The 24,382-nt window shown below is 44.9% G+C and overlaps 1 protein-coding gene and 2 long non-coding RNA genes across 3 annotated transcripts in view; 2 read left to right on the top strand and 1 right to left on the bottom strand.

The window, feature by feature from the left end:
• Positions 1–24,382, bottom strand: part of SCOC (short coiled-coil protein) — a 128,421-nt gene that overhangs the window by 75,994 nt on the left and 28,045 nt on the right. The window lies entirely within an intron of this gene.
• SCOC-AS1 (SCOC antisense RNA 1) overlaps positions 1–24,382 on the top strand; it is an 89,667-nt gene that overhangs the window by 63,658 nt on the left and 1,627 nt on the right. The window contains exons 3-4 of the long non-coding RNA NR_033939.1: positions 16,312–16,474; positions 18,206–18,345. This is a non-coding gene — a long non-coding RNA (SCOC antisense RNA 1). The remainder of the gene's footprint in view (positions 1–16,311; positions 16,475–18,205; positions 18,346–24,382) is intronic.
• On the top strand, positions 6,100–8,294 carry LOC124900785 (uncharacterized). The gene is made up of 3 exons (XR_007058281.1): positions 6,100–6,403; positions 7,062–7,309; positions 8,051–8,294. It is a non-coding gene; the product is annotated as an uncharacterized LOC124900785 (long non-coding RNA).

The following is a 24,382-nucleotide window of genomic DNA, read 5'->3' as shown; positions in this document are numbered from 1 at the left end:
GAAAGCTTCAATATATTAATCATTCTTCAAGAATTTGGAATGGTATTTGTTTTTCTCTTGCATATGTTATCATGAGGTAATAGGCTTTAAGGAATGGCAAAGAAGCCCAGATTTATTTGGATATATCTATTTGAATCTTTCTAGAGTGAGTTATTCTGTGGGTACTGTGCTTGTCCACAAAGTATAAAGTGGTGATTGTAAAAGGATGTGCCTGGGAGGTGGCCAGAGTACAGGATGTGACAATGCCTCAGCAACAGAGTGGTGACAAGGCTATGTTAGAAGGGGGCCCAGCAGAAGCCAGAGACCTGAGTGCAGCCACTTCTCCAGCACACTTCCCATCACCTATCAGTGACTCCTCTGACAGAGACTCATGGTTGGTCTTCAGCACATTGTCTTTGGGTCTTCCATTCTGCAGGATGTTTGCCAGAGAATGGCCAGCTGTGAGGTGAGGCTCCACCTGCTGGGCACAGGGTCATGGAAAGTCACTGCTCTAGAATTAAAAGTGCATCACTTCAGGATCAGCACTGGTGCTGCGTGACTCTTCACCTACTTGGCCTCAGTTTCTTCACCTGTAAAACAGCTGTCTTGGGAAGATGGTATCAATGATCCCTTTCAGCTCTTATGCTCAATGATACCTTTCCAGATACTCATTCCTTACTGTAGCTATTGCTCCCACTTTGTCTTACCCCAGGGCCCTGGCCATCTCCAACTCTTCACCCAGATGTTTATTCTACTCACATCATGGCCCTCCCAGTTAGACCTAACTGGGCGTGAGCAAAAACACTGGGGCTGTGGCTAGAGTGCCAAAGCTGCCTGCTCCTGAACTGTAAGCTCTAGACTGGCTGGGGGAAAAAAGAGGGCATCTCATCAGTGACCCAGGCACTCTGGGAACCATGTTCTGCATGCCCCTTCTCCACACACACAGAACAAGACAGTAGAGCCTGTCTCTGGAGCTCAGACAGCTTGCATAGCAGGAGGAAGCAGCTTTGCTTTTCTCCAGACACTTCTCAGAGCCACTGAAACAGCAACTGGATAAATATAGGAGGATGACGCATCAACTCTCAGTGAATGTGAGTGCATGAGCGTGCGTGCACAGACAAGCCGGCAAGCTGCAGGCTGCCACGTGGCTCTCAACCTCCAAGAATCGACACACGGGCTCCCAGAGCCAGAAAATCTTAGCAAAACTTGGTGTCATCAAAGAATCTTGGCAGGAGGGTGATCTGAGGCCATGAGCGCAGTCATGTCCTTGGCTCCTTGGAGCATTCACGGAGGTCATCCTCTGCTCGGCCCTGGCTATATATAGTCCTGCTTTCTCCAGTGTGCATACAGTCTTTCTGAATGAAACACCAGAAATCCTCCCAGGCTCTGTGAAAGCATCAACTGAGTGGCATTTGAAGGTCCTAGAAAATGAGTGGAGGAAACAGAGCAGGTGTTTTGCTCATTGTGAAAGGCAAACGCTGACTTGGAAGGTTTTGAGGTAGGGAATATGGGCCAATCTCAGCACTGCCAATTTTTAATTACTAGCACAATTAGCAGCCTGGCCTAACAACAAGCCTATTTTGTAAAGCTCTGTTTAAGAACCAGCAAATTGTGGCAATAGCACTAAACAGATGAATAGCACATTCATCATATCCCACTCTCTGAAAGCAATGATCTGCCTGCACAGTCCTGAACTTATCACAGCCTCTACCACCAGCAAATACCTGACATCCTCTTCTTAGCCCTGACTAAATTGGCATAAGAGTAAGAATCATGTCTCCATAAAGGCCGTCTTCCTGTGGTTGATCAATCACATTAAGTGAACTATATTAAATCAATGCAATATACATCAACATTAGCTTCTTGGGATAAAATAAAATAGAATCTCCCTGTCCTCTTATTATCATCTCTTGTCATGACCACTATTTGAAATAATTTTGAAATATTTAATGTAAAGGCATACAATCCCTAATGATTGTGAAATAGCATCTCCTTGGAGATAGGATTTCTGTGAGAGACCCAGTATCCATGAGTGTCCATCCGGCCTTGATAGAACTCATATGTGGTTGAATCTGCTACTTAGATCAAACCTAAGAAACTCAGACAGGCCAAGATTGCTCCTCTGGGATGTGCAAGATCCCTGAGGAACAAGAGGGGCTCATAAACAACAATAGAGGATCTTTGTAAGGAAAGGGAAGCTGTAGACTTTTGTAGACCATAAGACTTCATCTCTAGGACTGAGTTAGAGAAGCAGAAACCATAGACTTTGATAAGCACCTCCTGAACTTTAACTGAGCCCCTAGCTCTTGTATTCTTGGGTCAAGACAAGTGATTGCTGATTCTTCACTGAGCTAAACTTTAGGCAATCATAGTGGAAGGAACCTCAGACTGCTCAAAGAAGATCTGGGTAACTCCCTACCTGCAGAACAACACTGATTTTAGCAGAGTATGCTCTACCAGAAGATCAGCAGAGGACTGAGTAGTGTTAATTGCAGAGTTACTGTATTAGGCTGCTGTAATAAAATACCTTAGACTGAGTAATTATAGGCAACAGAAATGTATAAGCAACAGTTCTGGAAGCTGGGAAGTCCAAGATCAAGACACCAGCAGATTTGATGTCTGGTGAGGGTCTGCTTCATAGATGGCCCCTTCTTGCTGCATCCTTGTTTGGTGGAAAAGATGAACAACGTCCCTTGGGCCTCTTGTATAAGAGCACAGACCCCATTAATCACCTCCCAAGGCCCCATCTCTTAATTGCACCATGTTGGGGACTAGGTTTCAACATATGTATTTGGGAGGACACAGACATTCAGACCACAGCAGTCACTAAGAAGAACTTGCTCCCAAATATTGCCTCACTTCATGCCTAATTCCACTATTATAAATCTATTTACTGGAGACAATCATTGCTTCTCTTTGAGAATCATCTACAAATACTGTGCAAGGGAATGTCGATCATTCCCCACCTTCTCCTACCTACAACATACTTCCTAGGGGTCCTGACCAGCTGGCTTCCACTTAAGTTAGGCCAGAGGGAAATCCTAGCAGGAATTAGAGGGCAGGGGAAAGAAAGAAGTGGTAGTATTCCAGCCCCTCTGTCTCTCTGTTTGGGGATGTCTCTGGCAGTGTCCACATTTCCCCTGTGGTCACACCAGGCCTCCAGTGTTGTCTGGGTGGTCCAGGCACATCTCCTTGATACCTCTAGTTCTTGCCATTGCTAATCTTTGCCTCTACATCTCCTGTTTGCTCTTCAGCTCTCACAACCCATTTGTAGCTGATTCCCCTATTCATTTTCTTTATTGAACTACCTGACTTGGGCTGTTTTCTTGTCTATATCCTAACTTACTCAGAGGGGTACTGATATGGTTTGACTGTGTTGCCACCCAAATCTCATCTTGAACTGTAGCTCCCCTAATTCCCACTTGTCGTGGGAAAGACCCGATGAGAGGTAATTGAATCAAGGGGTGGGTCTTTCCTGTGCTGTTCTCATGATAGTGAACACGTCTCACGAGATCTGATGGTTTTATAAAGGGGAGTTCCCCTACACAAGCTCTCTTGCCTGCCACCATGAAAGACGTGACTATGATCCTCATTCACCTTCCGCCACCATTGTGAGACCTCCCCAGCCATGTGGAACTGTGAGTCAATTAAACCTTTTTCCTTTATAAACTACCCAGCCTTAGGTATGTCTTTATTAGTAGCATGAGTACAGACTAATACAGTTAGCATATAGATGTGTTATAAGTGAGCTTAATTATTATTTTTTCTCTCCAAGACCCTATAGTAGAAGGGAAGTCCCAGGAAGCTCAAGAAAGAAGGATTTAAAAAGGGAGAAAAGGTGAATTTTCCCCAGGTCTTCTCTACCTATGAAAGGTCCCCCTGACTCTAGCGTTGTGTGGGAAAGCCATAAAGAAGCAGCTCCCTTCCACAATGCTGACTTGTTACTCTCTGGCTTTACATCATGGAATCTTTGCCCCAGCTGAAATCTGTTTGCTGGCATCCGTGATTCGTGAGCTCCCAATTGCAGACTTTTGCATACCCATCTCCTCCCCTATGACCACCTCTCCCCTACCTTCCTCTCTGTCTATATAGCTATATGGCTCTTCCTCCTTGACAAACCAACTTAAAGCCTAAAATCTGAGCACTGTTATTGTTATACAGCCTGTCAGCAAGTTATAGGTGCAATCTGAGCTTAAATCCTCCTGCATTATTTTGTTCATTTGTTTGTTGGTTTGTTCTTGCCAGAGATCTTGCAGTTTTGATTATAGGTGCTTTCCTATTTGGCCAATAGAATTTTAAGGTCCATACAGATATAAGACAATGTCTGCTATTTCTTTTGCTGCTTGTTCCTGCCCTTCCCTCTGTCCCTCCAGCTCCCAGCAATTATAACATCTAGAACTGCTCTAGTATGTCCAACAAATATTGACATGCTGCCTAAACAAACTTCCTCAGCTAGAAAGACTAGGCGTATACCTATTTGTCAAGACGGCATGCCTTCTGTAGGAGGAATGCTGGTCTGAAAACCCTCAGACCTGTTCTGTCTCTCACAGAACATCCCCAGTAGAATGCAGTCTCCAGGCACAGGGTTTGGTCAGTCATTATTTTCATTTCTCCCTGGGCCTTGTGTGCTTAAACTCTATCTGCAATGCGGTTGTTTTTCCTTCAGTACAAACCTCCTGAAGGGGATTCTTGCTGATGGCATCTGTGGCAGAGACGAGCTCATGCCTGAAGAGATAAATTATTTATGGTGAATGGTGCCCTAATGGATTGTGTGATCAATAATACTTATAATAGCACAGCAGTGGACAAATCACAGAAGGGCTAGAACACGTGTCTACATCATTCTGAGAAGATGGGGTCCACCAGATAGCAAAAGGAGAAAAGGGGTACTTATGTCAACCTCAAATCGGTTCTGGATCAGGAATAAAGGGCAGCGTTAGGTTTGTTGGTTGGTTGGTTTCTTGTTTAAAGGGACAAATCAGTTTCTAGTCATGGGGAACACTGCACCAAAATGCCCCTAATATTATCCCCTTCCCAAAGACCAGCCTTCCTGCTCTAATCTAGCTAAGAGTCTCCCCAAAGTTCTGAGCTTTCCAGCAGCTGTGCAGAGAACAGCCTGAGTTTCTCGCTGGGTACTGGTATATGGGCTGCCTGCAAGTAATGAAGACATTAGTATCTGTTGCTTAGAGTGTTAATTGCTTCACTGTAGTTCTTAGCCCCAGTTCCTAGGCAACATCCAATATCGCAACAGGCCTCTTTGTGCAGATGTATAATCCCAAGTTTAAAATTTCTCAAGACTCTGCTGTCTTTTATTTTTGTGGTTTGTTTTGTTTTGTTTTTTGGCCTGCAGGAAAGTCCTACCAGGATATCTAACTAGAATTTCAAAATCAACATGTCCAGAATCAGTGGCAATATCTCCATATCTCTCCCCGACCTCCTACCTGCTACCTCACCCTCCCACTCCCTGCAAAACAAAACAAAACAACAACAACAAAACCCTGTTTTTGCTCTTGATCTACTGTCAGCCTGTCACCAGTGTCTTGTAGTTATCCATGCCCAGCGCCATATGCTTCCCTTTCCAGGCTTAGCTGAACTATCACTCTCTTTCTGAAGTCTCCCCTTAAATCTGAAAAACATGGTGCTTAGGTTTCTCCCTAAGCACCACTCTTCACTTCTAGCTGATGTGATGGATAGTTGTATGTGTGTCATCTCTCAAATGATACAATGAACTCCGTTTAGGGTATGCAGCATGTCTTAATCAACTTTGAATGTCCCAAAGAGGCTAGCACAGCACAATAATAAACTTTCCATTAGAATTTGTTGAATAAATGATTAAATGAGCAAATCGTATGTAGGTAACGGAGGTGGCACCGGCAATGCTTGTTTTCTTTATCATCTATATCCCTAAAGTGTGCAACAGAAAATAGTGGGAAGGGACTAAGCCACATCAGAGCAATTCTAAGTGAACAGCCCTGAAACTCTGTTCCACTATACTGAGCTCCATTTCCCTATACCTGGATTTGCACAGGCGTTTCCCAAAGGAAGTAAGAGTTCCCAGTATTGTTCCCATAGCTCCAGCTGAACTGAGGAACTCAGAACTTTGAACTGAGGAACTCAGAACTTTCTATAGAAAGGACAGAGGAACCTGGGCTTTTCTAGGCTGATTTGGATGTGGAAAAGCTATGCCAGACATTCCCAAGGCACTAGATAGCTATAAAGGAAAGAGATAGATCAGGATCCTAGCCATGGGCACTGAAAAGTGTTGAGTGTCACCAGGGTCAGGGGCTTCTGTAGTCACCCCTGGGCTCCAATAACCAAGCAAGGTTGGCAGCAGGGCCACAGGGCCTGAGGTCCCATTTTCCCACTCTCATATAGGCATTGTCTCATCTTTTTGAATTGATGGGGTTGTCTTGGTAGGCCAGAGGTAGGAGATAAAGAAAGATAAAATTATTCATGGGTAACATTCATACATGCATCTAGCCAGTACCAGAACACGCAACAAATAATAATTTTTTTTCTGTAAACCCTTCAGTTGGTGCCATCCAAGATGTACTGCTGGGTGTAACTATCAAGATAAAGGCTCTTTGCATAACCCCCTAAAGAAAGCTTTTTTTTTAAGCTCTAGGTGAAGGGCAATAATAAAGTTGCAGCCAATTGTCTGGTCTAGATTTCAGGACCCACATCCCATGTAGTCCCAGCATGTGTGGCACAGCCTCTCCTTGTTAGTAGGGTCCATTGTTGTTGCAGTGAGAACTTTAATTTTGTATTTTCTCACTTGGGTGCAAGTAAATTTTTCAAACATAAAATTGAGCTAATGTCATCATTGAGCATTTCATTTACTTTTTTTTTCTTATAAAAGAAACCGCCCTTGAATATATTTGGCTGTGTGATTGCACAGTCAAATAAGGATACATTTAAATATTCAGCTGGGTAACTACGTCTACAGTCTACTTTTGTTACTGGCTTACAACACTATACGTGGATAGGAACACCTACCTTGATAATGTTCTTGATATTCACTTTGGTCTCTTCTGAATGACATAAGCCTTGCTTAGCTGATTTATTTCCTCTTCTAATCTTAGCAAATCACGTGATTATCATTGAGAATGACATCCATTCTGAAGATACCTTTCAGGATGACTTCAGGACTAGAAATAGTATCTGGCTTGTTTCTAGTACATCTTACCTAAAGTTTCATGTATGAATGGGAGAACGAAAGCCTCAGATTGTCAACTAACTCTACCAAGTCTTACAATAGTTCAGTGTTCATCCAAAAATCAAATCCATAATTCCAGATCATTTCTTCAATTCCTTCAACTCTTCTTTGAAGGTAAGAATCTCAAATCACTATATCCTCAATACTTTTTGGCAACAAGGTTCTCCTTCTCTGTATAATTTATCCCTGGGTCTGTAGTAGGTCTTCAACAATAAATCATTGTTGAGCGCAGGCAGAATGAAAAGACAAAGACCCCTTTGATTTTCTGTGGACAGGAGATGCAATGAGCTTATCTCACAGTTTTATAATCTGAAAAAAAAAGCTGACTCAAATCATTACGTGAGAAATCAAACGCATGTTCCTTGTGCTTTTGGCAATTAGGCTTCTTTTTAGAAATATAAATCCTGGCTGGGCGCTGTGGCTCATGCCTGTAATCCCAGCACCTTGGGAGGCCCAGGGAGGCCAATCACTTGAGCCCAGGAGTTTGAGACCAGCCTGGGTAACATGGCGAAACCCTGTCTATGCAAAAAATACAAAAATTAGTCCAGTGTGGTGGCATGCGCCTGTGGTCCCAGCTACTTTTGGGAGGCTAAGATGGGAGAATCACTTGAGCCTGGGAGGGCAAGGCTGCAATGAGCCAAGATTGTACCACCGTACTCCAGCCGGGGCAACAGAGCGAGAACTTGTTTCCAAAAAACAAACAAACAAACAATAAAAAGAATAATAGTTTTTAGAAAGAAACATAAATCCTCAGAAAAAGTGATTGTGTAATTCCATGGCAGGGAAACAGTGCGTGGAAAATGTAAACTTTGAGTACATGCACGTTCAGCCATGCCTCCATCTGTAACTTCACAGCTGAGACCCAGACTCTCGTCTGATTTTCTAAGCCAGGCAAGACTGATCAAGAATCCTACAAGAAGAAAGTTTTCAGAATCCTGACCTCACTCCAGCAGGTCCAGAACGTTGCTGGTGACAATGTTCTGGAAGACACCTCAGCATGAATCTCTGGAGCCAGCATCTGGTACCACTGCCATCTATGGGGTGAATACTGCAATTAAGAGCCTGACCCTCTATGGTGAATAAAAAGGTTGTGAAATTATATGTAGCAGTGAAGAGTGTGTTGGAATTAATATTTGTACATCTTATGAATATAAGTGTCAGAGGGAAGAGACTTTCAAATTTCATATACCTAATTCCCCCTAAATCCACAGAGATCAGTTGAAGACAGATCATGTTTTGTTGCTGAAAGACCCCGGAACAGAAAATCTAACACCTTACTGGTTTAGAACTTACTAGAAGTAAAACTGAAAGCACAACAGAGTTCCTTCACTTGTACATTCCGCCTCAGATACTCATCCTGCCATCCTAGGACTTCAACCATGCCTCCATCTGAAATCCTAGGTTAGCTTTCTATCACTCTCCATCCACCACTCCCATTCTTGGGTGACCACTGCCTTTCTCCTGGGACCATGAGCTGACAACCTTCGCTCCTTTGTTATAAGCTTGGCTCACTGAGGCAAAGGTCCCTTCTTTGGGCTCCCATTTTTTGAGGCATGTTAAGAAGATGGCTGCCTAAACCAACCAGCTCCTCACACTTGATCCATGGATATCAATGTCACTGCCATTGAGGAGGTGCCAGCCCTCTGTCCTGAGACTCATTGCAGAAGAAGGCTGCCTTGCATATACACACATGTTGTACTTGAAGGCAGGAAATAATATTTCATCTGAAACCACCAGGTTCATCCATTTCCTTAAAACCACTTAGACATTAAAGAGCAGATGCAGAATTCCCACCAGCACTGTTGACATTTTCTGTCTCAGAAGGATTCCCTTTCAATCAACAAAGTGAGTGCTTTCCTGGGCCTGGGCTTGGCTTGAACAATACAAGAGAGACCAAAACACTTCCCTGGCACAGACAGCCTCCATTCAAACACTCGGAAGGTTTTAGTTCCTTCTTCACCCCAAATGCCCAGCAGAGACACCCAGCTTTCTCTCCAGTGCTGTTCTGAGAATCTGCCAACTTCCAGTGATGAAGCTGGCATTCTTTAGTGCTGATGACTCACGTGCTGTCATCAGCACAGGCCAGGCACTGGGGAGTACCTGGGGGAGAAGCCTAGCTGTGACTGCTATTGCCTCAGCTTTCCTAAGAACCCTGTAAGGCTGCCCGTGAGTGTGCAGATGCAGGCTCTAGCCTTGCTGATCCATCCTCCTGAGCAGGGCAGACTGAGATCAGGAAGGGGAGCGAGGAAGTGAGGGAGGCCAGAGGGAAGCGCCATATCTCCCTGACACTCTTTATGATATGAAACAATTCTGGTTCTTTGCTAGCAAAGCTTTAATCACTGGGAGGCTTATGCAGCTAGAGAATTTTGCTCACAAATAAAGCGGGGATGATGCCATGTGCTCATCAAACCTGCGGCCTTTGTCTCCGGGACCCACAGCCAATGAGATTTCCCAGCTCCCTTCAATTAGATGAGCCATATGAGTGAGTTCTGGCCACTGAAAATGAGAAGGAACAATGTGTATTACCTCAAAGCTGGGCCTATAAGACTGTGATGTGATTTTGCACACTCTCTTACCCCCATTAGTGGGCTTAGTGTTCATACCCAGGGTGAACCTGGCAGCCATGCTTTAAAGGCAGAGGGTGGGCCACAGGTGACTGTGGAGAACAAAGGACTGTGAAGTGGGTGGAAAATAAGCATCGTTGTGCTAAGGCACTGAGACACTGGGCTATGATAGCAGCAGCCAGCCCTGCCCACCCTCACTACTACAAGCATTGCCTTCCACATTAGTCCCCAAATTGTGTGACTACTGCTCTAAATTTTTAATATTAGAAATAAAGTCTCATAAATAATAAAAAGACAAACGACGTTACAATTCTAATGGGGGAGGGGTGTACAAATGCTTTAGTTGTCTTAGAATTCGTTTGTATCCAGTACTGCTCAAAGTAAGTAAATTCCATGGGAAAGCTTTGATATCTCCAGTTGAATCACAGATTTGAGCTATAGCAACATTTGTTGATATAGACTCTGACTAGTGTTCTATTTAGCTTCTAACTTTAAGAAATTCCCACTGGCAGCTGAACAGTCCCAATTCTTTAAAAGAAAAAAATTGAAAAAAGAAAAGAATGGTAAAGTGTGAGGGTAATTCTGAACTGATTTTTCTTTCCTTATGAATTCATATGACTTCTGAGTTGGCATTTAGCACTACATTTCTGTGTATGTTTCTCACAAGCAGGGCCTATGCTTTACCACACTTTACATCCCTCACAATGGCTAGCACAGTGTTCTTCAGTTTGCTGGATTTTTAAAATGAAATCAATTGCTTGATTATTATGTATTGCATGCCTACATTAAAATTTCTCACGTAACCCATAAATATACGCACCTACTATGTACCTACAAAAAATAAAAATTTTTTTAAAAAGCTGGACATGGTGGCTCATGCCTGTAATCCCAGAGCTTTGGGAGGCTGAGGTGAGAGGATTGCCCAAGGCTAGGAGTTTGAGACCAGCCTGGGCAACATAGTGAGACCCTGTCTCCACAAAAAAATAGAAAAAATTAGCCAGGCATTTCAGTGTGTGCCTGTGGTCTCAGCTACTCAGGAGGCTGAAGTGGGAGGATCGCTTGGCCCCAGGAGGACGAGGCTGCAGTGAACCATGATCGTGCCACTGCATTCCAGCCTGGGTGACAGAGTAAAGCCCTGTCTCAGAAAATAATAATAATGAATTAATTTATTAATTAAAATTTTAAGAAATCAGTTCTTGTCCACCTTTTATCTTCCATCCCTTGGGTCATCCCTCTATTCAGTCACTTCACATTTTTGGCTTCAAGAAAAGATAACACAGCAAAAAGTTAGAGAAAAGAGGAGTCACTGATTGGCCACAGGAAGGAAGGGAGCTGGAAGAAAGAACTCAGAGGCTGGTGGGTCCCCAAGAACTCAGAGGCTGGTGGGTCCCCAAGAAACATTCCAGAGCCTCCTTTCCAGAGCTTAGCCTGGCACGGGCATGGGGAGAAATGACAGATGTCCTCCTTACCCACCTTGGTTGGTTCTGCCTGCAGAAGGAAGGAACTTGCATTCAGTTTCCCAGCTGGAGCCCAGGAAAGCAACATGATCCCACAGAATAATGGTATGCTTGTGTGCCAACTTAGTGTGAGGCACTGGTATGATCACACGAGTGGCAAAGAAATAAGAAAGGCTTTTGGACAGTCTCTTGGAGATTTCTGAGGCCCAGAATTCTGTGACAGAAACAGATAACACCTTTGTGCCCAGGAGAGTCCTGGAAGTAGCTGAGAGAGAGAGCTGGATGCGAAGAGCCCATGGTCAGGAACCAGGGACGACTCAGCAGCCACCTGGTGAACCAATAACTGAAGACCAGATGGCAAGGTGGACACCTCCGGGGAGGCCAGCATGGATGGCGAACGATCCCGAGAACCAGATGTCCCCTTCCCAATACCTGGCACTGCCTAAGCCTCCAAATGTAAATGCAACCCCAAGGAAAGGGGCTGGGGGAGGCTGGGGAGATAAGCCAAATTAATTTAGATTGAATTTCTACAACCCCAGAGGAATGGAGGCTTAAAAAGAAAGAAAGGGAAACAAAGAATTATGTTTCAGACACATCTGAATATGTGGAATGAAATTGATACCTGTGACGTGTGATCCAAGAAACGGGGGTTTCTATTAACCTTAAAGAAAAGGCAAGAAGGAAGTTAACGAGTCTTGTAATTTCAGGAACAATGGAGAGCCTCCCTCCCCCCACTGTCTCCTGCACCTCTGTGATGGTGTTTGAATTTTCACCATCATATTGTTTTTTTCCTTTGATTTAAAATTTTCCTCTGATCATACACATACTATTCAGTAATGTTCACCTTATTAGTCACTTATTCCTTGATGTATTAATAAATCAGTTTATCCTATGCTTTTTGACAGCAGGGTGCAATCAAGAAATGTTTTTCCTACACAAGGGAAGGAGGGAGAAAGAGGATGGAGAGGAAGGAAAGGTGTGGGAGGGCAGGAGAGAATGAATGAATCAAAGGACCAAATACCATGCAAAAAATGAAGAGTGGTAGCTCTGAACACAAACTTTGTCTACCTTATAATTTTGAGTAGGAGTAGCCAGAGATAAGGATAGAGCCAACTCTGTGTTATGAAAAACTACCTGCTTCTCCTCGAGGTGGCCGCCCTTCCTGGGGAGGTGCAGTGCTTTGTGTGACTCATCTCTAAGTGCTGCGTGGGCTCCGGCAGCAGATACTGACAACAGTGCCCCCCCCCCCACAGTCACCAGAATGCTCTCCTCTCCGGCATTTTCCCTCCGCGCCTCTCCAAAGACCTTGCAAACGGCAGCAAATTCATGAAGCCCAAGAGTACACCTGCAAGGCAGGTGCCAATTCAATCAATTAAGCACCAGTAAACATTATTTCATGGGAGAAATGGTGCTGCTAACTTAGGGCAGAAAATGTGATTCAGAGAAGTCCCAGGGCTTGTGAAATTAGGGCTTTCTGTTGAGGAGTTAAATCAGCCTTTTGTGCGATGAGGCTGCAGCAGGGACAGAGCATATAAAGCAGGTGTTTGCTCTTACATGAATCTGAAAAGTTAAGCCAGGAGAGAAATAGGTAAATAAAAGCGAATGTAAGACCTAAATCCCACAGCAAGGGCAGTGACAGGAGGAGAGTCACTCAGCAGCCACAGAAAGATACTGTTAAGATGGAAGAAAACAACGCCCAGTCTTTTGTGTTCAGGGATAGTGAATTATTAGGTTTTTTTTTTTCTTGTCGTGACCTTGTGATATTGAGTAGCCTCTCTTCAGACAATCAGTGTTGACATCAGCTACATGCTCAGATCAATAGACATTTCAGGGGATGTCGAGAAACTGTGTTCTCAGAGGCAAGGCAGGCAGCCTGCATACCTCGTTCACCCGCCATGTCACCCGGTTTACCAGGAGATTAGGATGTGGAAATGGGTCAGTGTCCTTCAATGGCATCAGCGAGAGAGGCTTTTCCACTGCACTTTTCAGGGATGAGTCAGTCTGTGGGTTATTTTCCACTAACCCAGGCACGTGGCCATTCATTAAATCTGGAAATAAATCATGCACGGCGCCCCTGGGGAACTGTATTTGTTTTGCACGGTTCTTATTCAGCACATCCAGCTAGAAAAGACAGCCGCTCCACCCTTAGTAGTTCTGAAAACATAAACTGTGGCTTATTTTCAGGCTTTCTGCCTTCAGAAATTTTGCCCATTGCTGGTTTGGAGTTTCCTAACAGCATCTCTCACGAAGAACATGCTCATTAAATCCATTTTGGATTTGATCCTTGTGAATATTAATGCCAGTGGGGGCTGTGAAGACCCCTCTGTGATGCGCCTGTCACAACCAGATAATGATTCACACCTAGGCATGTGGATCGACCCTGCCACAACGTGCCTGGAGCAGTGAGTCTGAAATCTTCATTCTCATAACAATCATCCAGGGAACTTTTAAAAAATGCAGATTCCTGGGCCTGGTTCCCACAGATTCTGAGTAAATAGGTCTGTGACAGGGACCCAGGCACCTGCAGCTTTATAAGCTCCAGGTGATTTTCTTTTTTTTTTTCTTTCTTTCTTTTTTTTTTTTTTTTTGAGACGGAGTCTCGCTCTGTCGCCCAGGCTGGAGTGCAGTGGAGCGATCTTGGCTCACTGCAAGCTCCGCCTCCCGGGTTCACGCCATTCTCCTGCCTCAGCCTCCCCAGCAGCTGGGACTACAGGCGCCCGCCACCGCGCCCGGCTAATTTTTTTTGTATTTTTAGTAGAGACGGGGTTTCATCGTGGTCTCGATCTCCTGACCTCGTGATCCGCCCACCTCGGCCTCCCAAAGTGCTGGGATTACAGGCGTGAGCCACCGCGCCCTTCGCTCCAGGTGATTTTCATGCAGGTGGTCTTGTGACGCTACTTAAGAAACTGTCCTGAGCCGGAGCCCAGCCAGCAGGCGGGGCCACGCCGTCTCACTTCTCTCCTTGCTGTTCTTTCTGTCTTTCAGCCCTTGCCCCCAGGAGCTATCCTGCCTGGATTTATTCTGTTACTCCATTGTCAGATCCCACTTGGCCAGCCCAACTCTAACAATTGGCTTCTAGAAAGCACGCCCCTGTGTGGCTCCAACCTCCACATGGCCAAGTATGGCAGAGGTCACATTCACATGGAGTGGTGGGGTGTGCTGATGGGCCTTCTGAGATTTTTTTTTTAACCCATGGTCCAGGCAACCATGGTTCCTTTTCTGTTATTTTACCCCTTACCTATAGACCAAAGATATCAGATGTAAGCTCCTACAAACTCCCACCAAGTGTAAACCTGAAAGGGAGGGATCCCCATCATTATATCATAAGCATTTTCTTCAAGAAGGAAGGAAATATACTACTAAAATCTCCCAATTATCTACACTAATGAAGAAAACCATGACACAGATAATCCAATTATTTTTTACTTTGAAATTAATTGCATGGTTACTTGACAGAAGATATGCTTCCTAACTGTGCTTTATTTAACTGGTGTGTGGCTATTTCCTAAGCTGTATACCAGCTGATTGCTGGTATGGGGTTTAATTTCAAATTTATTATGATAACTACACTTATGCACAATGTGTAAAGCCTCAAATCACAGGGTCCAGACATTTGGACACAGAAAACCTTGGAGAAGAAATAGTTATAAGAGCCAGGGCATGGACAAGTAGCTACTTTTAGCTGTTTCCAGGTCAGCAGAAAGGGAAGCAAATGTGATGTCATCAGGTCTGTACCTCTCCATGACAGTGTCATCAACATTTCAGCTTATGGTGGATTGGGCGGCACGGTTTATGTGGTCCTTTCTAACCTTGAAATCCCATGAACCTAGAACTTGAAACATAGTGGCCAGATGTGGGCCTAGAGAGGAGCATAATCCTTAATGGTCTCCACTAGCCCAAGAAACAGAGCACGGGTCACTAAAATTTTCTGCTGTCAATATTTGGACTCATTTCCTCCAAGTCTTTGAATAGGAGAATTTAGTTGGTTGGTCAGCTGGGTACAATTGTTTGTACCCACAAAAACTCTCTAGGGCCCATTTTTTCCTGACAATGAATTGGGTATTTAGATAGAGAATTGCATTCATGCATGTAGGGGACTTTCAGGCTTAGGCACACCCTGAAGCAATAATGTCTTAAATCAGGAATCACTTAATTTCCACAGTGGCATCCGGTACTTCCATGGGAAGTAAGCTGAGAATTATTATGCAGGTTACTGTCCCCTCCTCAATATCTTTCCTTGGTAGTGACACTACCTTATTCTGCTTCCACACATTCCTGTCCATCATTGGAGAGACTCACTGGAAGTTGAAGGGAAATGGCATTCCAAGTGAGTGATGTGGGCTGACATACCTGGGATGTCCCTGAGGCTGCCACTCTCAGCATGCCTCGGTACTTTGGATGCCATGGTAGTTACCACACCTGCCAGTGTTGGGTTTAGGCCCTGGTTACAAGTGTCTCTGTATTTTGTTTTTTAATGTGTTTTGGACCCAAAGGCCCTTCTTTAACTTCTTTCCATCTTAGCAAAGGAGTAAAAAAGTTATGGCTGAATGGGGAAAGCTAAGTTAAAAGTTGGCTTCTGGGAACCCTCACCCTAAGCTTTTGCTGCCTGGACAACTTCCCCTTACTTTCTGAAGAGCCCCCAGTCACTGGCTCTGCTTTACTCTCCCCTTGATGGCTGCCTCCATGAATCCTATACATGGGGGTGTTCCATCACCATAGTGGCCATGGAAGTGGATCACTCAGATCTCCTTTTAAGGGGATCTGCTGGGAGGCAATGGCTGATTGACAGCCCTCAGCTGCTGCACCTTTGGATACACTGTGGGGTTCTCTGGAGAGCTTCCAGCCAATGACAGGGAATGGTAGGTGTACTGGACCTATCCATTCCTGCCTGGCGTGGAATTCTCTACTCAGCAACTATGGCTTTGGGTCTTCCCATTGGCCTGGCCAAGACTTACCTAAAACTGCACTGTGGTCCATTGCAATCCTTCCTTTCTTCCTATCCAATCCTTCTTTCCCTCTCTTCTTAGTAGGTGTCAGACCGGCATTTCCATCTCAAGACTCTCTGACAACTCCTGCTCCTCTCTTATTCTTTTAGTTTACCTCAACAAATAGCTTACACCTCCAATCCTGTCTTGGCGTGCCCTGCTCAGAAGACACAAGACACACCAGGAGTGACGTGAGGAAACAGGCAGTAAAGATAAGCCTTTGCGACTGGGTTACTCAGACCCTCCCTGACAAGGAGGAGCCCATCTTGAGTGGTATGTGGGGTATGGTTATTCCCTGGCACCTAGTGGCAGCCCAGTTGTTTAAGATTTCATGTGAGAAAACATTCTGTTGGGGGAGAATGGCTTTGCATGTGCAATGATTCAGACTTCTGAAAGATATAGGGGGGAACACATGAGCTACACGTACAGTGGAGTTTGCTGGCTGCTACTAAGTGGTACAAGTGTTCTACAGGGGAATCGTGAGAAACCAAGAGCAGTTGACATACAGATAAAAGCTAAGAGTGGGAGCCAGAGGGCCTTGCTGGTAGTTTATAGGAAGCCTCTTCTCTCCTGCACTGGAAGAGCAGACACAGCTGAGCTGCCAACACAGAATTTGATAATTAAAGTTTCAAAGCCCCAGTGATGCTTAAACCAACTCAGATCTCCTATGAAATCAGGGTCCCAGTTGGGGAAACATGAGACCCTAAAAACTGAGATGGGTACATCTGGGTGGATGGTCCCAAGGGCTTTGTTGCTTTAGATTCCTCTGAAGCCTCAGAGCTTTCAGAGGTGGCTCCCCCAGAATAAGAACTAGAATTTTTCCAATTCAGAAAGATACAGCAACGTCCCCTCCTCGGCAAGGTAACAGGTGGTCCCCTCAGGAATTGTCCCATCTCTTATTCTGGCTTCCAGGCCAATAACTAAGATGAAATTTCAGCATACTTCAGTCAGGAATATGTTGGGTTTCATAAGGAAAAAGGAGATTATATCCCAATGGAGCTGTGAGAATTAGCTAGCATAAGCCATCAAGAACCAGAAGAGTACCAGTCAGGTTCAGTGGCTCATGCCTGTAATCCCAGCACTCTGGGAGTCCAAGGTGGGTGGATCACTTGACATCAGGAGTTCAAGACCAGCCTAGCTAACATGACAAAACCCTGTCTCTACTAAATATACAAAAATTAGCTGGGCATGGTGGCACGCACCTGTAGCCCCAGCAACTTGGGAGGGTGAGGCACGAGAATCACTTGAATCCAGGAGGCAAAGTTTGCAGTGAGCCAAGATCATGCTACTGCACTCCAGCCTGGGTGACAGAGAAAGACCCTGTCTCAAAAAAAAAAAAAAAAACCAGAAGAGTACCGCTGGAAGCAGATTTTGAGCATGCGTGATCAAGGTGGTTGAACATAAGATGGGGGGCAACAGAGATGGTCAGTCAATGAGGATGCTGCCACAATCAAAAGAAGGCAGGAACAGAGGAGCAGGAGGCAGAGGGTGGTCGTTCCAATAAACAGTCATCATCATTCACCTATTTCCCAGGTCTGAGATTTTCAGACCTGGGCCCCATTTACCTAAAAGGTGGCAGGATCCATAGGTAGAATGACACTATAAAACCATGGCAAGCATAAACTATAATGAGTTCTCTAGTCCTTTCTTAAATAAACTACATACACTGGGGAAAGGAAATTCATCAGATATTTTGAGGATGATCAGACACAAGGTCTGAGCTGGCATTGATACCTGGAGACCTGCAGTATTATCACAGCCCCCCCAATAGAGCTGAGAAATCAGATGGATCCTGGAGAATGACCGTTGCCTACTGAAGGCTTACCCAAGCAGTAATCCTGATCAAAGCTGCAGTGCCTGATGTGATTTTATTCCCAGAACATATTAATAAGCGTCAGGTACATGGTACATGGTCATTGATTTGGTGACCGAGAAAGGATATTGATTATAATTCTTTTTTGTTCTGTTGCTTTTCAAACTCACTCACCCTCTGCCATAATACAGTCCCAGGAGACCTGGACCTTGTGGACATCCTGCAGAATGGCATATGGATCCATTACAATGATGACATCATGCTGACTGGGCAAGATGACAAGAGGTTGCTATACACCAGAGGGCTTGGGAAGACACATGCCCTGCAGAAGGTAAGGTATATGAAGAGCCAGGCGGCTGCCACCACGTGAAGTCTTTAGGACTCCAGGATATAATCTCTAAAGTAAAAGACAAATGTCTTGCAGCCCCTATCACAAAAAAAGGAAGCATAGCACCTGACAGGCCTCCCGGCTTCTTTTGGAGATAGCACGTTTCATACCTACCAATACCACACTTAAGAATATTGGGAGACTCAGAAGACTGCCAGCTTTCAGAAAGCCCAGGAGCAAGAATGGGCTCTGCAGCAGATCCAGGCTTGCCCTGCCACTCAGGCCATAAGGTCCAGCAAGCCCTGTTGTGTTGGGAGAGCCAATATTAGAAAAAAGATATAGTGTGGAGTTTATGGCAAGTTCCCAGTGAGAAAACAATAATGCAGGCTTCTGGGGTTCTGGAACAAGGTTATGCCATCTATAGCAAAATTATTATATGCTTTTTGAGAAAGCCCCCACATGTTTCTGAGCACAGAATGCTTAGAATGGAATGCTGGACCATGGAACATCAAGTGACCATGCATACAGACTGTCCACTGTGATGTGGGGTTTGTTCGTTTGTTTGTTTGTTTGTTTTTGAGACAGAGTCTCACTCAATGTTTCCCAGGCTGGAGTGCAGCAGCACGACCTCAGCTCACTGCAACCTTCACCTCCTGGGTTCAAGTGATTCTCCCGCCTCAGCCTCCCAAGTAGCTAAGACTACAGGCACACGCCACCATGCCTGGCTAATTTTTGTATTTTTAGTAGAGATGGGGTTTCACCATGTTGGCCAGGTTGGTGTCGAACTCCTGGCCTCAGGTGATCTGCCCACCTCAGCTTCCCCAAGTGCTGGGAATACAGGCATGAGCCACTGCGCCCTACTCAATCCAGGTTCTTTTGAAACTGCCAATTCATGAGGTCACATAGGCTCAGCAGTAGTCTATTGTAAGATGGAAATGAGTGGAACCAAAGGCATGGGGGAAGTTGCATGAACAGGGAGCCCACCCTCCACAATTCCATCCACTATCCCCAGCTCTTACCTCTTGTCAAATGAGTGTCCCAAGTGACCAGCTGAAGAAAGAAAGAGGAGAAAGCCCAAGGTTGGTTTATGATCTGTGAAGGGTCTGAGATTTTACCCTGCCTGTAAGCTAACAAGTTATCCTGACACTGTTGTATGGCTGCTGGCAGAAGATTTAAGGTCAGAGACAAAGAACTTTATTATTCAGCACAATTGCAGCAGCCAGAGTATCAGCATTTTCTTACACCAGTTCCCTGGGCTCTCATTCCTATACAGCAATGCAAAAAAATGCTAGGTGACACCTGCACATGCAGTGGCTACATTACAGAAGAGACTCTGGGCTGGCCAGAAGCCTGGGAGTAAAAACACTGAAAGATTGGTGAGGAGTCCTGGGGTAGAGGCATGTCAATGGACATATAGCATTAAGCATTAAGTGTCAAGATTGCTGCACCACACTTTAATACCCACTAAAAGTAATGGGTGTTACTTATAATCCTCACAGAAGAGGTACTGAACAACCAAGTAGACAAAATGATGCAGCCAGCTGCTATTAGCCAGTCTTTGTTATCAGCTTTCTCTGAGCTGGCAGGATAAGCACATGAATGGAATCGCCACAGGGACAGAGATGGAGGCTGTGTATGGACCCAAAACTGCTGGCTTCCACTTGAAAAGGCTGATCTGGATACTGCTGCCTTTGAATGCACAACCTGTTGGCACTAGTTCTTAAGGAGCCCAATGGACCATTTGGTGACAAGTCACTTACACTGGGTCCCTGCCATCCTGGAACAGTCAGCAGTTCACAGGTATGGGTACCAATCTCAAAACGAATTTGCCCTGTCTGCCCACAGAGCCTCAGCCAGCACCACTCTCCAAGGGTTTACAGTATCCCTGATCCACAGTCTTAACATCTCAAGTAATACAGCATCCAACAGGAGACCCACTTCACAGTGAAGGAAATGAGGGGGTGGAGCCATGGGACACACTCACTCTATCACCTGTCACACCATCCAAAAGCAGCCAGCCTTGAAATCCCGAAAACTCACTTGAAAAGGGCGGCTGATATGCTGGCTCAGAGGAGATGGGACATCATTCTCTAGGACGCAGTGTGTGCATTAATTCGGAGGCTGCTTTGTGGTGTTGTGTCCCAGTGGGAAAAGTACAAGCAGGAGTGACCCTCCTTAATATCACTCTCTATGACTACTGGTTCAGTTGGTATTTCCTGCCACACAACTCTGGGCTCTGCAATGTTAGAGTTCTGGTCCCCAAAGGAGTACACTTTTGCAAGGGGACATAGCAAGACACATTTGTGTCTCCTAGCATCTGTGTTAATGGTCTGTGTGTGAGGTCATGTATGTTGTGTAGTAGTGAGTGTGTGTGTCATGTGTGTGGACATGGAAGAGATTTCTGCATGTGTGTGCATTGTGTGTGTTGTGTGATCAGGTATGTGGTGTGTGGCATGTGTATGTATGTGATGTATGTGTGGTATGCATATATGGTGGAGCTGTGTATGTATGTGGTATGGGGGTGTGTTTTGTATGAGGGGTATATAGACATTTGTGATATATGTGGGTAGTATGTGGGTATTTACGTGTACTGTGTGAACATGTGTGGTATGCGTAGGGGGTATGTGCATGAGGGTGATGTGTGTGGTGTGTGTACATGTCTGTAACTTGTATATGTGTGTGTAGGGTGTTGGGGCACATGTATGTATATGTGGTATATATACATGTGTGCTGTGTGGTGTTTTGTGTGTATATACTTGGTGTTATGTATGTGTATGATGTGTGTGTATGTGATGTGTGATATGTGAGTGGTATGGGTGGTACATGTGTATATATGTTTGTGGTACGGATATGTGTGTGTGTGCATAGGAGGATTTGTGTATGTGTGTAGTGTTTGTGGTGTGTACTTATGTGTGTAGTGTATAGGATTGCGTTATGTGTGTGATGTGTACATGTGTGATGTGTACCTGTGTGTGTTTTGTGTGGGGTATTTGCATGGTGTTTGCATGTGTATACAAGTGTGCACTGTAAGTGCAGTATATATATTTGTGTGACATGTAATATTTATGTAGGTGTATATGTGTGATCTGTAGGAGGTATGTATTTATATGATGTGTTTGTCTACGTGTACATAGTATGTATAGAATTGTGGGTGTGACACATGCATGTACATGGGGTGTGCATGTGTGATGTGTGGTGTAGGTCATTTTTATGCATGTGTAGTATATCTATGTGGTATCTATACATAAAAGTGTGTGCTGTGTGTGGTGCATGAGTACAGCATGGGGTTGATATGTGCATATGTGTGTGATAAATATAGATATGTATATATGTGTTGTATGTGGCATATGTGTGTGGTATGTGTGTAAAGTGTGGGGTGTATGTACATGTGTGGTGCATGTAGTATGTGTTCATGTGGTATGTGTGCACTCTGTGTGGTATGCATGTGCCCACACACATATGTGGTGCAGGTAGTATGTGCACATATGTTGTGTGTATGTGGTGTGTGATATGTGTGCATGCATATGTCTGTGGTCTGTGTGTCATAGTTATGTGCATAGTGTGTGTCTATGTGTGTGGTATATGTATAGAGTATGTATGTTTACATGCATGGTACGTATAGTGCATGCACATGAGTGTGGTTTGTGGTGTACATATGGTGTGGCCTGTGTGTGATATGCACGTGTGTCCATGTGTTTGGTGTGTGTATGTGTACATATGTGTGACATGTGGTATATGTACCTGCATACTCTGTGTGGCATGTGCATATGCATGTGTGTAGTGTGTGTACATATGTGTGATATATGGTATATGCATGTGCATGGTCTGTGTGGCATGTGTACATGATGTGTGTGTAGTGTGTGTACATATGTGTGGTGTATGGTAGATGTATGTGCATGGTCTATGTGGCATGTGCACATGATGTGTGTGTAGCATGTATGTACATGGTATATGTATGTGCATGGTCTGTGTAGTGTGTGTAGTGTGTGTACATATGTGTGGTCTATGGTTTCTACATGTTCGTGATCTGTGTGGCATGTGCACATGATGTGTGTTTAGTATGTGTGTAAACATGTGTGGTGTATGGTATCTATGTGTGCATGGTCTGTGTGGCATGTGCACATGATTTGCGCATTTAGCATGTGTGTACATGGTGTATGTATGTGCATGGTCTGTGTGGCATTTGCACATGATGTGTGTGTGTAGCATGTGTGTACATGGTATATGTATGTACATGGTCTGTGTGGCATGTGCACATGATGTGTGTGTAGCATGTGTGTACATATGTGTGATCTATGGTATCTATATGTGCATGGTCTGTGTGGCAGGTGCATATGATGTGTGTGTAGAGTGTGTGTACACATGTGTGGTATATGGTATATGTATGTGTATGGTCTGTGTGGTGGGTGCACATGATGTGTGTATGTCGTATGTGTTCGTGGTGTGTGTGTGGTCTTCCAGCTGGGTAGTCAGGGAGCCCTCTGGGGGAACAGCTAGTATCTCTTCTTTCTCTCACTTTCCTCCCAAAGTACCTCTGTACTCAGCAAGATCTTGAGAGTATTGGCTGATGAGAGTCAATTTCCCAAGTAGCTTAGAGGCTGCGTGACTCCCACAGTCGTCCTTGACAGCGGCTCCAGCGCCCCGCCTCCCGCACACACCACACCGCCCAGTATTGGGCCACAAGCTAACCAACCGTGATATTGGCAGTCATGCTTATGCGCTCAAGCCACCCATGTGCACGTGAGGAACGGCGCGGGCACACGGCTGCACATGCCGCCCAGTCTGGGCTCCAAACAGCACTGCATTTTAAATGAGCAGGCTGGCTCATTAGAGGGAAAAGCAGTCTCTAATTCCGTGTTACATCGCCTTTTGGCTCTGCTTTGTCTTTGCAGACACCAGATCTCATCTGTTGGAAGCTGCATATGGCTCGTTAAAAGGACAGAGTTTGGGAGGGGCAACAGTGGGGTTCGCAAGCCAGATGCCACCACCCTATCCCTCCCTCTGTTTTTTGTTTTTTGTGTTTTTTTTTTTCAGCCTTTAACATTTTTCCCTTTCTTGGCTTAGCCTTCTTTCACCTACCCAGTAAAAACGGTGGGCTGGTAATAACTACCATTTATCAAGTACCTACTCTATGCCAGCCACAATTGTATGTGATCTCTGATCCTCACAACAAGCCAGCAAGGTAAGCATTCTTTTTTTTTTTTATTTTGTGATGGAGTCTCGCTCTGTCACCCAGGCTGGAGTGCAGTGGCTCAATCTTGGCTCACTGCAACCTCCACCTCCCAGGTTCAAACAATTCTCCTGCCTTAGCCCCCGAGCACCTGGAATTACAGACATCCACCACCACATCCGGCTAATTTTTGTATTTTTAGTAGAGATGGGATTTCGCCTTGTTGGCCAGGCTGGTCTCAAACTCCTGACCTCAGGTGATGTACCTGCCTCAGCCACCCAAAGTGCTAGGATTACAAGCGAGAGCCACGGCACCCAGCCCAGCAATGTAAGCATTCTAACACCGTGGTGCAGATAAGGAAACTGAGTCTGGGAGATTGGAGGATATGCCTTCATAGAGATGCATGGATGGAAACCAGGTCTGTTTCCAACCATCTGTTGCTCTTCCCTCTGTGTCACTTAAACACAGGGCCACTATACTAACTGCTTAGCAATGTCTTGGTTCATTGAAAAGGGGAAGAGATTTCTAACCTACCTAGCCTGTATTACAAGAGAAATGCTGCATTCTCACTTAAGTATCTCCTGAAATTGTGAAAAGCCCTATTTCTGTACTACTTCTCTTGGCATCTCCTTAATCCAAAAGACAAAAGTTACAATCTAGAGATGCTTACAAAATGCCCTAGCTTTTTACCACCCCATCCTAGAATACAGTGAGCAAAAGCTCCTGTCCTGCCAGCTCTGTCATTGGTCTTTGTCTTTGAGATACTGGCCCCTTGGCCATTGCTGGTTTTCTATAGCAGTAAACCACACCCCACATCAAATAAGTACACTCTCTCCCATTTATTTTAGTTCAGTCATCTGGTATTTTCAA

Source organism: Homo sapiens, chromosome 4 (assembly GCF_000001405.40).
Source record: "Homo sapiens chromosome 4, GRCh38.p14 Primary Assembly".
Classification (NCBI taxonomy): Eukaryota; Metazoa; Chordata; class Mammalia; order Primates; family Hominidae; genus Homo; species Homo sapiens.
The sequence above is the reverse complement of the archived record's forward strand: the minus strand, read 5'-3'. Positions and strand labels throughout refer to the sequence as shown.